At 39.9% G+C, this 15,477-nt stretch overlaps 1 protein-coding gene across 2 annotated transcripts in view, besides 5 other annotated features; it reads right to left on the bottom strand.

The window, feature by feature from the left end:
* The window catches only part of CDC73 (cell division cycle 73), a 132,785-nt gene extending 123,348 nt beyond the window's left edge, over positions 1 to 9,437 (bottom strand). For both annotated transcript variants that reach the window (NM_024529.5, XM_006711537.5), the window contains exons 1-3: positions 9,137 to 9,437; positions 6,251 to 6,356; positions 1,225 to 1,294 (exon numbers count right to left, since the gene is read on the bottom strand). In NM_024529.5, the coding sequence (NP_078805.3) occupies positions 1,225 to 1,294; positions 6,251 to 6,356; positions 9,137 to 9,267 (307 nt within the window). In that variant the 5' untranslated portion in view covers positions 9,268 to 9,437. The remainder of the gene's footprint in view (positions 1 to 1,224; positions 1,295 to 6,250; positions 6,357 to 9,136) is intronic.
* Positions 8,649 to 9,293: an enhancer, noted in NCBI's record as "H3K27ac hESC enhancer chr1:193091305-193091949 (GRCh37/hg19 assembly coordinates)". NCBI's record gives its function as "activates a minimal SCP1, AML or CMV promoter by ChIP-STARR-seq in primed H9 embryonic stem cells {active_cell/tissue: H9 hESC(primed)}" and the evidence as "EXISTENCE:reporter gene assay evidence [ECO:0000049][PMID:30033119]".
* Positions 9,000 to 9,049: an enhancer, noted in NCBI's record as "active region_2268". NCBI's record gives its function as "activates an Ori minimal core promoter by ATAC-STARR-seq in GM12878 lymphoblastoid cells {active_cell/tissue: GM12878}" and the evidence as "EXISTENCE:reporter gene assay evidence [ECO:0000049][PMID:35858748]".
* Positions 9,294 to 9,940: an enhancer, noted in NCBI's record as "H3K27ac hESC enhancer chr1:193090658-193091304 (GRCh37/hg19 assembly coordinates)". NCBI's record gives its function as "activates a minimal SCP1, AML or CMV promoter by ChIP-STARR-seq in primed H9 embryonic stem cells {active_cell/tissue: H9 hESC(primed)}" and the evidence as "EXISTENCE:reporter gene assay evidence [ECO:0000049][PMID:30033119]".
* Positions 9,320 to 9,389: an enhancer, noted in NCBI's record as "active region_2267". NCBI's record gives its function as "activates an Ori minimal core promoter by ATAC-STARR-seq in GM12878 lymphoblastoid cells {active_cell/tissue: GM12878}" and the evidence as "EXISTENCE:reporter gene assay evidence [ECO:0000049][PMID:35858748]".
* Positions 9,550 to 9,629: a silencer, noted in NCBI's record as "silent region_1657". NCBI's record gives its function as "represses an Ori minimal core promoter by ATAC-STARR-seq in GM12878 lymphoblastoid cells {active_cell/tissue: GM12878}" and the evidence as "EXISTENCE:reporter gene assay evidence [ECO:0000049][PMID:35858748]".

Here is a 15,477-nt window from a genome sequence, read left to right as displayed (position 1 = left end):
GGAAATAAAGAGTGGGGACCTGTGAGGAAGCTATACAATAATCTAAAAAGCAAGGATGAAATAGGGCAGGTAGAATGGTAAGAAGTTGTCATACTTTTAAAAAGAGAAAAAAACAACTTGTTGATAGAATGGATGTGAGATGTGACAAAGATGTCACCAAAGTTCTGGCCTAAGCAACTGCAGGAAGAGCGTCTCACTACCCCTTACTAAAGTGGGAACACTGAGAAAACAACAGACTTGTTTTTGTTCTGTGTGAGGGCAGAAGGGAAAGAGGGAATCAGGCATTCCATTTTCAGTGTTAAATTTCAGATGCCTATTCAACATTCAAGGAAACATGTTGACAGTAAATTTATAAATCTGGTGCCCTGAAAGAAATCAATGCTGAAAAAAACACTTGAAATTTCATCAGCATATATATGATATCTGAGCCATAAAACTGAAAGAGATCACCTAGAGAATACAGGTTAAAAGAAAAGATAAAAAAAAAGATCAAGTCTTGGAAACTTCAAGAATTAGAGGTCAGGTACAGAAGTAACCAAAATAAACTGAGAGGTGAACAACGAGTAGAAAGAGAACCAAGAGGCTGGTGTTCCAAATGCCAAATGAAGAAAGGCTTTCAAAAATGAGTGGTCAACAGTATCAAATGCTGTTGAGAGGTCAAGTATGGTACAAGAGACCAAAGGATGTAGCAATCCTTAAATCAGTTTTGACCTTACAAGGAGTGATTTTAGTGGGATGGTAAGGATGAAGGCCAGACTAGAGTGGCTTCAAGAAAGAAACAAAGGTAAAAAAGAAGCAATGATACCACACGAACTCTTGCAGAATATTTTACAGTATCAGGGAGGAGATAAATGAAGCAGTAGACAGTAGGAATGTGGGATCAAAAACATTTTTTAAACATGAAATCTTACTGTAGGTATTCTAAAAGGGAATGATCCAGAAGAAAGTAGAAAACTGATGATGTCAGAGAAACAACAATTTACGAAGACAAAGTCTTTGAGACTGTGAAAGGAGATGGAATCCACACACAAGGAAGGGGTGACTGGCCATAAGGGCAAAGACAGTGCATCCACTGTATAAGAAAAAGGTGAGCACATGGACAAAAATGAAGGTAGGTTAATTTTTTGGTGGAAATACAAATTCTCTTCCCTCTAATCATTATTTCATAGGGGAAAAAAGAAACAATGTCTGTTTAAGACTGGGAACAATTTAAAAAGTACTCACACGCTTCACCATTGAGATATCCAAGTAGATCTTTTCGATCAGGTCTTCTAACCACAGGAATATTTTCAGTCTAAAACCAAAATTTTAAATGAGATATGAAATGAATAACAATGATACACAACTTAATAAATATTAACATGTAATGTCTGAATTTTATTCCAACATATCTTGAAAAAACGTATTTTAAATCACATTTGTAAAAAATGACTAGGCTAAAAGAACCTAATAAAAATCCTGAAAATTTATTAAACATGTTAGTTACTTTTAATAATTTTCTTACAACTTGATATTAACATGTAATGTCTGAATTTTATTCCAATATATCTTGATACAATATATTTTAAATCACATTTGAACAAAATGACTAGGCTAAAAGAACCTAATAAAAATCCTGAAAATGTATTAAACATGTTACTTTTAATAATTTTCTTGGCTGGGCGCGGTGGCTCACACCTAGAATCCCAGCACTTTGGGAGGCTGAGGTGGGTGGATCACCTGAGGTCAGGAGTTAAAGACCAGCCTGGCCAACATGGCAACACCCCGTCTCTACTAAAAAGACAAAAATTAGCTGGGTGTGGTGAAGCATGCTTGTAATCCCAGCTGCTCAGGAAGCTGAGGCAGGAGAATCACTGGAACCCAGGAGGCGGAGACAGGCGTTTCAGTGAGCCGAGACTGCACCACTGCACTCCGGCCTGGGCAACATAGAGAGATTCCGTCTCTAAATAAATAAATAAATAAATAAATAAATAAATAAATTTCTTTTTGAAATTCCAGGAAGATATACAGAAAATAATCATTAGAAATAAAGCAATGACCAGGCACAGTGGCCCACACCTGTAATCCCAGCACTGCGGGAGGCCAAGGCGGGCGCATCCCTTGAGGTCATGAGTTCAAGACCAGCCTGGCCAACATGGTCAAACTCCATCTCTACTAAAAACACAAAAATTAGGCAGGGCGCAGTGGCTCACACCTGTAATCCCAGCACTTTGGGAGGTCGAGACGGGTGGATCATGAGGTCGGGAGTTCAAGACCAGCCTGAGCAAGATGGTAAAACCCCATCTCTACTAAAACTACAAAAATTAGCTAGGCGCGGTGACAGGCACCTGCAGTCCCTGCTACTCGGGAGGCTGAGGCAAGAGAATCGCTTGAACCTGGGCGGCAGAGGTTGCAGTAAGCCGAGATCACGCCACTGTACTCCAGCCTGGGTGACAGAGTGAGACACTGTCTCAAAAAAAAAAAAAAAAAAAAAATTAGCCGGGCGTGATGGCAGAAGCCTATAATCCCAGCTACTCAGGAGACTGAGGCGAGACCCAGTCTGAAACACAAACAAACAGTGCAAGAAAAATTGGTAGCTAACAGATTTCAGTTTAAATCCTTTGTCACTTTATATGTGTAACAATGAAGTAACAACAAGAACCTTTAGTATCTTTGGCCAATGACCTTATATTGAATACTTATTATAATTTACTGCACCAAACATTCTGCACTGACTCCTCAATGATTTAGATAAACTGTATTTAATCACTTAAAAATTAACCTTTTATTTTAAAAAGGTCAAGCTAAATTTTAGTTTCTCCTTATGAGTTTAAAAATTTGAGTGCAGAGTTTTTTTGTGCTTGTATTCTTTTAAACCAGCCTAGGCCAGGCATGGTGGTTCATGCCTGTAATCCTAACACTCTGGGAGGCCAAAGTGGGTGGATTGCTGGAGCCCAGGAGTTCGAGACCAGCCTGAGCAACATGGAAAAACTCCAACTCTACAAAAATATAAAAGTTAGCCAGGCATGGTGGCAAGCGCCTGCAGTCCCAGCTATACTCCCAGCTACTCAGGAGGCTGAAGGAGGAAGACAACTTGAGCCCGGGAGGGTAAGGCTGTGGCAAGCCAAGATCCTGCCACTGCACTCCAGCCTGGGTGACAGAGCAAGACTCTGTCTCAAAAAAAAATAAAAAATAAAAATAAACCAGTCTATATGGAATATCATAAACAGTTAAAAGATTTGAGTTAATTTTAAGTTACTGTTTCTAAGTCTAATAACTTACATCATCATTTGGTCACTACTGAGTTATGTACACATCACAATCCACTGAAAAAGATTACATCTACTCACACTAAAATAGGAACTAAGGATCAGGAATCTGTTTTCAGAGTGGTCTGCTCAGCCGGACGCAGTGGCTCACGCCTGTAATCCCAACACTTTGGGAGGTCGAGGCGGGCGGATCGCGAGGTCAGGAAATCAAGACCAACCTGGCTAACGTGGTGAACCCCCGTCTCTACTAAAAATACAAAAATTAGCCAGGCATGGTGGCGTGTGCCTGTAATTCTAGCTACTTGGGAGGCTGAGGCAGGAGAATCCCTTGAACCCAGGAGGCGGAGGTTGCAGTGAGCCGAGATCACGCCACTGCACTCAAAAAAAAAAAAAAAAAAAATGAGTGGTCTGCGCACAGGAAAGAGCAAATAACACAAAGTAATTAGGAGACAACAATCTCGAATTCATAGAATTTTGGAATTTTAGAATCCTACTCTTTCAATCTGGCAAATACTTATGAAAAATGAGTTAAATCTTATGCAACCAAGGGTCCCAAGGTCCACAGTAACAATTACAGCTATCAGTTATATGCACAACCATTTCCCAAAAACAGAATCTATAAATCTAAGCCAACTATCTGAATCTTTGTTACACTAAAATGAATATATCCAACAAAACACTGTAAGAACTACCTAATTTAGTTTTTAAAGATCTGAGTTAAAATAACCTTAAAGACGGAGCTGGTGCTATTTTTTTCCCCTTATTTTCCCAAGTAGTCCCACTCTAATTTTATTTTTTTAAATATGTAACATAAATATATATTTCTTACTCAGGAAAGCAGAAGCCTTATGGTTTAATACAAAGCCCACTAAGTGACGGGATACTTTCTCAATTGCTATAATCACACACACACACACACACACACACACATTTTTTTTTTTTCCCTGAGACAGAGTCTTTGCTCTATCACCCAGGATAGATGCATTGGTGTGATCATGGCTTACTGCAGCCTCAACCTCCTGGGCCCAAGTGATCCTCCCACCTCAGCCCCTTGAGTAGCCAGCTGGGAGTATAGGTGCACACTACCACGCCTGACTAATTTTTTTTATTTTTTGTTTTAACAAAGTTTCCCTATGTTGCCCAGGTTGGTCTTGAACTCCTGAGCTCAAGTGATCCTCCCACTTGAGCTCAGCCTCCCAAAGTGCTGGGACTACAGGCATGCACCACCACACCTGGCTTTTAGTTGCTTTAGACAACAAGTTATTGTTTGAAAGATACATAAGCCAGAAACCTTAACTATTTCTAGTTGGGAGGGAGGTTAGAGTTATAGAAGTTAAGTTTCACACAGCTTAATGTGATCCAGCAACGGTGTTAGGTAACTCAAAAAGCAGCTCCAGTGATGACAGACACAGTGATATTTTAAAAAATTGTTTTAAGAACTATAAGAAAAGTTTAAGAAGATTGTTTTAAGAACTATAAGAAATGGGAAAAAGTAGTTATTTATAAATACATTTCATACTTAATTTTAAGTGTATACTTGTAAGCAAAAGCAACAAATATTAAAAGCAGACATTTAATTATTTCAATTATATCTTCAAAAAATTTTATGTTCAACTCTACCAAAAATAATCTGAGGGAAAAGCTCATTTAAAAAAATTAAATATCTTTTAGGCCATTTTATGTGGGCATTATAGTACTTTTCCATGTCATACAGCTATCCTATCCAAATAACTCTGAATCTTATTTACTTATCAATTATAATATACTGCTATAATTTAGGTCTTAATGATACTTCCCTACAGATGAAGAATCTCATCATCATAGTTTATGAAATTAGTTCTTTTCAAGTTGTTTCCAAATATTTCCTCTGAGTAATAAATTTTCAAACACTGAGAAAGCAAGCAAAACTAAAAACAAATGAACTTCTCCAGAGTACTAAAACAGCTGCACAAAACTGATTAAGAAACAATTTTTTTAAATGTCTGCTAATCTTAATCCTTACAACCAAAAAAAGTTTTCTTGAGATTAAACTAGAGTTCTGAAGTAACAGGGTCCTTCCACAGGCTTACAAGTTTTTCTAAACATCTCTATAAATACTTTTAGCGTTTCGGGTTTTCTTTTTCTTGAGATGGCATCTCACTATGTTGCCCAGGCTGGTCTTGATCTCCTAGGCTCAAGCAACCCTACCGCCTTAGAGTCCCAAGTAGCTGGGATTACCAGCGTGCACTAAGAAGCCTGGCTCTATAAATCCCTTTAAAACTTCCTTTGTTATAAACATTACCCACACTTTACATGAAAAAATATCACAGATTAAAAAGTCTGTGTAAGTCACACAGTCACCTAATTTTGACTCTCCTGGAGACACTCATACAAACCTTTCATTCTTTTGATTTGAAACCCATGAGGGAAGCTATCCATTCCAAATGATACCTACTACCACGAAGCCAAAAAAAAAAAAAATGTGTTAATACAAAAATTAGCCCGGCATGGTGGGCCATGCCTATAGTCCCAGTTTCTCAGGAGACTGAGGTGGGAGGCTGGCTTGAGCCCGAGAAGTAGAGGGTACAGTAAGCCGAGATCACACCACTGCACTCCAGCTTAGGCAACAGAGCCAGATCCTATCTCAAAAAAAAAAAAAAAGTTTTAAAATGAATTATTGGCCAGGCACAGTGATTCATGCCAGTAATCCCAGCACTTCGGGAGGCCGAGGCAGGAGGATCCACTGAGGGTAGGAGTTCAAGACCAGCCTAGGCAACACAGCAAGACCCCCTCATCTTTAACAACAACAAAAAAAATTAGCCAGATACGGTGGCACAGGCCTGCAGTCCTGGCTACTTGAAGGCAGAGGTGGGAAGATCACTTGAGCCTAGGAGTTCGAGGCTGCAATGAGCTATGATCACACCACTGCACCCTAGCCCGGGCAACAAGGCCAGACCCTGTCTCTTAAATAAATAAAAATAAAACTGATAAATAGATAGATAAGTAAAATGAATTCTACTTACAGCTGCACGTCGGACATAAACAGGATGAGAAAGGTGCACGTTATTAAGTAGAAATAAAATGGAATCCAATGTGTAGTACTCTCTGGGTTGGCCTTCCTTTCCAGTCCTGAAATAATTAAGGCAAGATTTTTTTTACTGACAATTCTAATTCAACTCTTCAGGCTGGATTCATTTATATAAACAACTTTGCTAACAACAATGAGTTTAACATAGCTAACAAAAAAAAAGTATAAAATCTAATAATGAATAGACTGTCATGATCACAAAAGAAACACAAAGGAAGGCAATGACAAAAAGCAAGAAGTAGGGAAAATACAAAAAATTCATACTCTAAGGTACTACAAACTTTTTAGAATTAGGCCCAAATTAGGCTCTGGGCTTTACCAATAGAGAAATCTAACCAGATCCATATCGAAGAGGATCCATAAGAGAAAACAATTACACTGCTTAGAAGAAGCACAATTATCACTGGTGCTAAATGTAAAAGAAATTTATCCTATGGCTCTTGATAAATAAGATACTGCTGAACAACATCCTTCACATTCTTACAGTAAACACAACACTGAATTTCAGGGGTATGACTGTTATGGCATCCCTCAAATTAGACCAATAATGTAAAACCAAAATGCTATTCTACCTGTGATAAAACAATGTAGTCTACTAACGGTGCAAGATCTCTAATGCAGGTACTAATATTACCTCATTCCAATCCTACCCTTCCTTCTACACTTTCCCCTTCTATATCTTTGAATCCATCTGAATATGGTCCACTATAATCAGCCCTAAACCTACTTTTCTACCTTCTAGTCCCATTTTTCCTCTAAACCAATGTATTTCAAACCACACACCATCAATTATTGTACTATGAAACCCAATAAATAGTTAACAACCATATTTTTTCTATTTTCAGAATAGAAAAGAACAGAAAAATAAAATGCACTGCATACAATAAGAAGAGTAAGTATTGTTTAGTGTTTTATATGTGTATATATTTCCATGTGCATGTGCACATATAGAAAATAAAAACAATTTCTTGGTGTGATAAACTGCTGAAAAAGTTTAAAATCTACTGTGATAAGCACTCCTTTTTCACTGGCTTCACTGGATTGCTGTCAACACATTTACTTTCCAGTTCTTTATGCCTTTAAGCATACAGCCTTTAAGTATACAGTTCACTCATCTTGGAAGACTTAACCCATCATTTAGCCCAGAGAATTCCTACCTATTCTTTAAAGCTTGTTTGTTCATTCATTCATTCATTCAAGAAAACTTTGTTGGATGTGAACTTGCCAAAGACAATTCTATGGAACCTTCTCCTAAATAACCCCAACTAGAAGTGACTGCTGTCTTCAAAAGCTATTGTAGAAAGCATTTCACATCAACTTATAGAAAGCATTTCACATCAACTTATCTGTTTAATCTCCTCTATTCAGACTAAGTTAACCTCCTTTGAGGTAGAAACCAGAGTCTTAGGAATTTTTTTAATCCTCAGATTGAACCACTTCACACCCTAGGTACTCCTTAGCCATTGTCTAAAAAAAAAAAAATTCACTAAAAATCCAACCACATGTAATTCTACCTATGCAAATTATTCGAAAGGGTAAAATACCAGAAACTCAGAATGTCATTTGATCAACATTTTATAAAGCTAATTAAATCATAAGACAAAAAAATTTTAAAACCAACCAATAGGCAGGGCGCCGTGGCTCACGCCTGTAATCCAAGCACTTTGGGAAGTGGAGGCGGGCAGATTATTTGAGGTCAGGAGTTCGAGACCAGCCTGACCAACACGGTGAAACCACATCTCTACTAAACTACATAAATTAGCCGGCCATGGTGGCGGGGGCCTGCAACCTCAGCTACTCAGGAGGCTGAGGCAAGAGAATCACTTGAACCCAGGAGGCAAAGATTGCAGTGAGCCAAGATCGCGCCACTGCACTCCAGCCTGGGCGACAGAGCAAGACTCCCTCTCAAAAATAAATAAATAAATACCAACCAACAAACTAAATTTCCCTAGTTTTTCATCGACTCTTCATAAAGCTTCCATTCAAAGAAACAAAATGAGTAGGGAAGTTGTAGCTCAAGGTTCTAATTCTAGAAGCGATGCACCAATGACAGTGACATCATTAAAAAGGCCCCTAATGACTGTTAGAGCCGTCTCTAGAAGTTTTCCTGAATGACTTAAACTGATAAAACTTCACATGGACCAACATTCCCAAACATTTCCCTTTAAAATACACTTCCGAAAAATCACACGCACCATCTATTTCTTAGATCTGTAAAGCTCACTCATTTCACCAACTCCTGAAGACCTCTCTAACACAGACTTTTATGACTCTTCCAAATTCACCAAATTTCTTTCCGGTCCTAACTTCAGGGTTGATTCCCTTTTCTCTTCTACAGGAATCACCCCCACCCCAACAATGAAAGGAGATGAAATAAACCAGGAGTTGCAAAGACCAGCGGAGATAGTTACATAGCAGCCTGGAAAAGAGAAAAAAAAAATAAAGAACAAAAAGAGGCGTCTACGGCACCAGACGGTGTGCTCCTTTGTGCACCTATGTTCAGGTATCCCTTGCGCACCAGTCCCACACTTCGCTGGTACACATACCTACTGATAAAAATTAACTGTAAAAGTCAGAAACTCCCACGGTACCTTTCCTTTGGGCTTCTCAAAAATTTTAAGTGATGAACTGCTCTAGAGCTCCGCCCCTTCTTTCCTTACCCTAAAAGTGCAACTTCTGCTCTAGAGAGAAACTTTCTTTTCCCCGAACACCCGTTTTATCCCATCCCCAGGGGAAACGGGGGGAGGGGTTAAGAAAGAGGTCGCCTGGGGGCGCCCAACTCTGCCCTGCCACCCCTGGGCCACAGCCATGCCGGACTTACCCCCAAACAACATAGTTGGTCTTCACATTCTTGGGCCAGGAGAACTCCCCGAAGATCACTTCGTCTCCCTTCACCACAATCTCCTTCTTCTGGATGTTGTACTGTCGCAGGACGCTAAGCACGTCCGCCATCTTCCCCCCCCTCGCCTCCGCCGGCTCGGGGCGCCGCCGCTGCCGCCGCGCCTGCCTCCTTCTTCTCTTGTCGCCTCGCCCTCTTCCTCCTCCTCCTTCGCCGCCGCGACGAACCAACAGCAGCAGCACTAACAGCCGTCCTCGCCTACGACAGCAGCAGGGGCAGTAGCCACCCAGGCCGCCGAGGACCCCGCGCTGTAAGGCAAGGCCCCGCCGCCGGCTGCCCGCGGAGAACGCCTGACTGCGCCCCTCCAGCGAGGCACATCCGCCGCCAGGGGGAGCCGCGACCGCCTGGAAAAGTGCCCCTCCCAGACTTCAGCTGGGCACGGAGCCCACTCACTCGCTGAAACGCTGAGCGCTGGGGCACCGCGCCCACGTACGGCGCACGTACGGGGAACTTTGCCGGGCGCGCGCGCGCGGAGCACGTACCCAGTACCCCGCGGCGCGCACCAAGCGGCGTCAGGTGCGCGCGTACCTGAGCAGTGGGTCAGCACTTCCATCCCCAGCACGTGCACTGAGTATTTAACGAACTGTCTCGGGTGCGACCAGAGGCTCCCCCGGGTCCCTGCTTTGGCCGGGATGGAATTCGGCAAGGATTTGCGGAACACTAGAATTACCTTCCTATTTAGATCGGACCCAGGCCTAGCCAAAGACCTCTAGGACTTAGTGATCCGGAGAAGCCCTTTTGAAAGAGTGGGGCTCTTGGGGTTGGGGTTGGGGTTTTTTGTTTGCTTTTGATGTGGAAAAGAACGAGTTTTGGTTTTTTGTTGGTTTTGAGTGGAAAAGACCGAGTCCAGAAAAAAAAAAAAACAGTTCTGGGCACTGCTCGTCAAGTTACATAGCTTCTCACAGCATCAATTGGTTAATGAAGAAAATGGGGTTAATACGAAGATAAGGTAAACGCGCCTAGCAAGTCAATAAAATATCCTAAATGTTGGATCCTCCCTCTTCATTCTTTGGATGATGACTTTTTCCATCGCGGTCCCTTCTCCCCGCCAATCCCGAAGGGCTATATTCAAAAGGCTGTGTTCCAAGATGTAAATGGGAAAGTTGCCCTAACAGAAACCCCAAACGGTCCAATTTAGAACACTTCCAGACTACCCAATTTTTTAAATGGTACTCAGAAGTCTCAGTGGTGTCCTTGACATGCGTTTTGAGACGGTTAAGATAAGTTCAATATACTATGGCCAACCAAACACATCCTATGGGATTGTTTTTTTTCTTTTACCATGTCAGAAGGAAAAAAGAGGCAACTTTGTGTTTGACATAACCAAATTCCTTGACCTGTTTTGAAAAAAGTCAATCTTTTCACAACGCAGAGGACTACAGATACAGAAGTGTGTGGTTCATTTCCGATATGATCTGTAGCCATTCTGCAACTGTTAGTTTGTGAAATTTTTTTCTGTTCCACCAATGTTTTCACCCCGTAGTATTCTCCTGAATCTCACCCCAAGCACACACATTATAAAGAAATGGCTACAATTACCTATCCCCACATTCTCTATTCATACCTGTGTCAGAGCACTCAGTACCATATTACTTCCCTTTATAGTTTATTTGCCTGCATCCACAAAACTGAAACACCATAGATCTGTGTCCTCATATCCTACTGTCTAACATTATTTGGTACATATTAGTAATAAATGGATGAATTCAATAAATTGATGGAAGCTCCTAGTAAATATCGAGTTAATACATGGATAGAGGCTTCTAATAAATGTTGAAGTAATGAATGGAAAGATAAGCTCAAGGAAGCCAAGATTTCATGATTAGGAGGCTCGACTATAGTCCCTTCAAACGATACTTAATTTTATTTCATACTCAAATAATGATTAAAGTCTCTCTTTTCAGAGAAATTATGTTTTTTAGGTTAATGAATTTTAAAAAGTGGTAAGATAAGTCATTAGTAAGTTGTTGCTTTTAACAGTTAAAGCATTGAAATTTGTAGATCATTTTTTTCCTGACCAGCCTGGGCAACATACCTAGACCCTGTGTCTACAGAAGCAATTGTAGATCATTTTTGTTTTTATCTAAGTACCCTTATAATTGCCCTACCAATACTGGTTCATTGGAGGATGTCAAAATACAATAAAAGGCAAGATTAGTGGTAGAGCTGAAAAATTAGAAAATTAATTAGAAAAAAACAGAAAAATAGTCTGGTTTCTTTGTCTTGGGCAAAAGCAGTCCACATCTCCAGATATTAGCTCCTGAAGAATTCCTAAAAAATCTTTAGTTTTATGTCTTCTGTTAGAGTAAATGCCCAGCAATCAGAAGAAAGTGGTATGTCTTTTTAGTTGGAAACGATGGATCCAACATCATTACCTTGGAGTTTAAACCACTACCTCAATTGCTAACAGTACCCAATAAGGTTCTTTCCACCAGTGCCCAAGGACAGTTTTATTCTGGTTCCTTTTCCAAAGGACCAAATTGCCAGGTTTTAGATCAATCAAAGTCTGCTTAGGTAAGTATTTTGGAAATGCACTTGAACCTACTAGGGATAATTCGGCAGGTAGCATAAGTCTCATGAAGCATTTATTTATATTACTCTGTAATGGTAGAACGTAGGATTGGAAGTAAAATTTTCAAATACATGGGTAGGGGGAGGCTGTTAATTCAAGAAGAGATAATCTGTGGGTCCCAGAAGGGGTTGATTTATTGTCATCAATCAATCATGACTAATGGCAATTTGAAGGGCCATGAAATTTGTTTTTCGAAACTGTTGATAATTTTAGTTTTAGGACTCTGTTAGTTCTCTTTACTTTTCCTAAAGTTTGGGGGAAATCAGTGTGTGGAGTTATAGCTCCCTAGCAAGGAAAAGCCTCAGTCCATCCAGAGAGTAAGCAAACAACAACCCAGACATAGTCATAGTTTATTCCAGGGAATTATTATGGGTTGGGTACTTAATTATGGGTTAATTATTTACTTGATGTCTTTGATATATATAGGTTTATTCAGATTGTCCATTTCTTCTTGTGTGAGTTTTGGCAGATTGTGTCTTTCAAGGGGTTCCATTTTATCTAGGTTATGAAATTAGTGGGATATAGTTGTTCACAGCATTTGTTATTATCCTTTTAATGTTCATGTCATCTGTAGAAATGTCCCCTCTTTTATTTCTGATTTTAGTAATTTGTGTCTTCTCTCTTCTTAGCGTGACTAAGAGGTTCATTGATTTCATTGATCTTTTCAAAGAACCAGCTTTTGGTGTGATTACTGATTTTTTTACTTTCAGTTTTACCAGTTTATGCTTAACTTTTATTATTTCTCTTCTTTTGCTTACTTTAGATTTAATTTGCTCTTCTTTTTCTAGTTTCCTGAGGTAGAAGTTTAGATTATTGATTTTTAGGTCTTTCTTCTTTTCTAATATATACATTCAATGCTACAAATTTCCCTCTAAACACTACTTCGCTTCCTCCCATACACTTTGGTAAGTTATGTTTTTATTTTCTTGCAGCTCAAAATATTTTAAAATTTATCTTGAGATTTCTTCTTTGACTCATGTTATTTAGAAATGTATTGTTTAAACTCGACATATTTTAGAATTTTCTCGCTATCTTCCTATTATTGATTTCTAGTTTAGTTTCATTGTGGTCTGAGAGTAGATATTGTATGCTTTATATAATTTTAAATTTACAAAAGTGTCTTCTATGGCCCAAAATGTGGTCTGTCATGGCGAATGTTCCTTGCATGTTTAGGAAGAATGTTTATTCTGTTGTTGTTGAATAGTCTATAGATGTCAACTATATCAAGATGACTGATGGTGTGGTTGAGTTCAATTACATCCTTATTGATTTTCTGCCTGCTGGTTCTGTTCATATCTGATACAGGGGTGTTGAAATCTTCCACTATAATAATGGATTCATATATTTTTCCTTGTAGTTCCATCAGTTTTTTGCCTTATATAATTTGACGCTCTGTTGTTAAGCACGTACACATTAAGCATTGTTCTGTCTTATTGGAGAATTGACCCCTTATCATTACATAATGCTCTTCTTTATTCCAACAAACTTTCCTTGTTTTGAAGTCTGCTCTGTCTGAAATTAAAATAGCTAATCCTACTTTTTTTTATTGGTGTTAGCATGATGTATTTTTCTCCATTCATTTACTTTTTATCTATATGCGTGTTTACATTTAAAGTGGGATTTTGTGGATAACATAGAGTTGGGTCTCATATTTTGAACCACTCTGACAATCTCTTTTAATTGGTGCAGTTAGACCATTGATGTTCAAAGTTATTATTGATAAAGTTGGATTAATATCTACCGTATTTGTTATTGCTTTCTATTTGTTGCCCTTGTTCTCTGTTCCTATTTATATCTGCCACAGTTTTTCTCCTGTGTGTGTGCGTGTGTGTGTGTGTGTGTGTGAGAGAGAGAGAGAGAGAGAGAGACAGGGTCTTGCTCTGTAATCCAGGCTGGAACCTAATGGTGTGATCATAGCTCACGGCGGCTTCAAACTCCTGGGCTCAAGTGATCCTCCCACTGAAACCTCTAGAGCGGCTGAGACTACAGGTGTACACCACCACACCGAGCTAATTTTTAAATTTTTTATAGAGACAGGGACCCACTTTATTTTTTAGGCTGGTATCAGATTCCTAGGCTCAAGAAATCCTCCTGCTTCAGCCTCCCAAAATGCTGGGATTACAGGCCTGAGCCACTGCGCCCAGCTGTTTGTGGTTTTAATTGAGCATTTTATATGGTTGTATTTTGTCAGTCTTTCTTTCTTTCTTTTTCTTTCCTTCTTTCTTTCTTTCCTTTCTTTCCTTCTTTCCTTCTTTCTTTCTCTTTCTTTCTTTCTTCCTCTTTCTTTCCTTCTTTCTTTCTCTCTCCCTCTCTCTCTCTCTCTTTCTTTCTTTCTTTCTTTTTGAGGTGGAGTCTCACTCTGTCGCCCAGCTGGAGTGTAATGGCACAATCTTGGCTCACTGCAGCCTCCGTCTCTCGGGTTCAAATGATTCTCCTGCCTCAGCCTCCCGAGCAGCTGGGATTACAGGTGTGCACCACCACACCCAACTAATTTTTTGTATTTTTAGTAGAGACGGGGTTTCACTATGTTGGCGGGGGCTGGTCTTGAATTCCTGACCTCAGGTGATCTACCCACCTTGGTCTCCCAGAGTGCTGGAATTACAGGTGTGAGCCACCACACCCGGCCAATTTGAAGGATTTAAAAATCTTCATTGCTTCAAATATTTCTTCTGTCTTTTTCTTGCTTCTCCTTCTGATATTCCCATTATATGTACATTATACCTTTTGTAGTTGTCCTACAGTCCCTGAATATTCTGTTCTGGGTGGTTTTTTTTTGTTTTTTTTTTTTTGAGACGGAGTCTTGCTCTGTCACCCAGGCTGGAGTGCAGTGGTGTGATCTTGGCTCACTGCAACCTCTGCCTCCCGGGTTCACGCCATTCTTCTGCCTCAGCTTCCCGAGTAGCTGGGACTACAGGCGCCCGCCACCACACCCGGCTAATTTTTTTTTTGTTATTTTTTAGTAAATACGGGGTTTCACTGTGTTAGCCAGGATGGTCTCGATCTCCTGACCTCGTGATCTGCCCGCCTGGGCCTCCCAAAGTGCTGGGATTACAGGCATGAGCCACCGTGCCCAGCCCTGTTCTGTTTTTTCAATCTTTGTTTTCTTTGCTGTTCAGTTTCGGAGTTTTCTGTTGAGAGATCCTTTAACTTGGAGATTCTTTCCTCAGCCATTTCAGTCTACTAATGAGCCCACCAAAGGCATTCATCATTTCTCTTACAGTTTTTTTTTTTTTTTCACTTCTAGCATTTTTTTTTTTCAGGATTTTCATTCCTCTGCTTACATTGCACATCTGTTCTTGCATACTATCTACTTTATCCACTAAGACCCTTAGCATATTAATCATTGTTTTAAATTCCTGGTCTGATAATTCCAATATCTCTGCCATGCCTGGTTCTGATGCTTGCTCTGTCTCTTCAAATTCTGTTTTTTTCCTTTTATGTAATTTTTTTCTTAATAGCTGGACATGATATACCAGGTGAAAGGAGCTGCTATAAATAGGTCTTTCATAACATGGTGGTAAGTTGTGGGGGAGAACAAGTGCTCTGTAGTTCTACGATTAGGTCACAGTCTTTTAATGACCCTATGCCTCTGGACTGTGGACTTAGTTCCCTCCTGCTTCCACCCTTAATTGGGACAGGATAGCTAAAGCAGGCTAGACTTGGTGTTTTCCTTCCCCCAAGTCACTGAGGC

This window comes from Homo sapiens, chromosome 1 (assembly GCF_000001405.40).
Source record: "Homo sapiens chromosome 1, GRCh38.p14 Primary Assembly".
In the NCBI taxonomy this organism is placed as follows: Eukaryota; Metazoa; Chordata; class Mammalia; order Primates; family Hominidae; genus Homo; species Homo sapiens.
The sequence above is the reverse complement of the archived record's forward strand: the minus strand, read 5'-3'. Positions and strand labels throughout refer to the sequence as shown.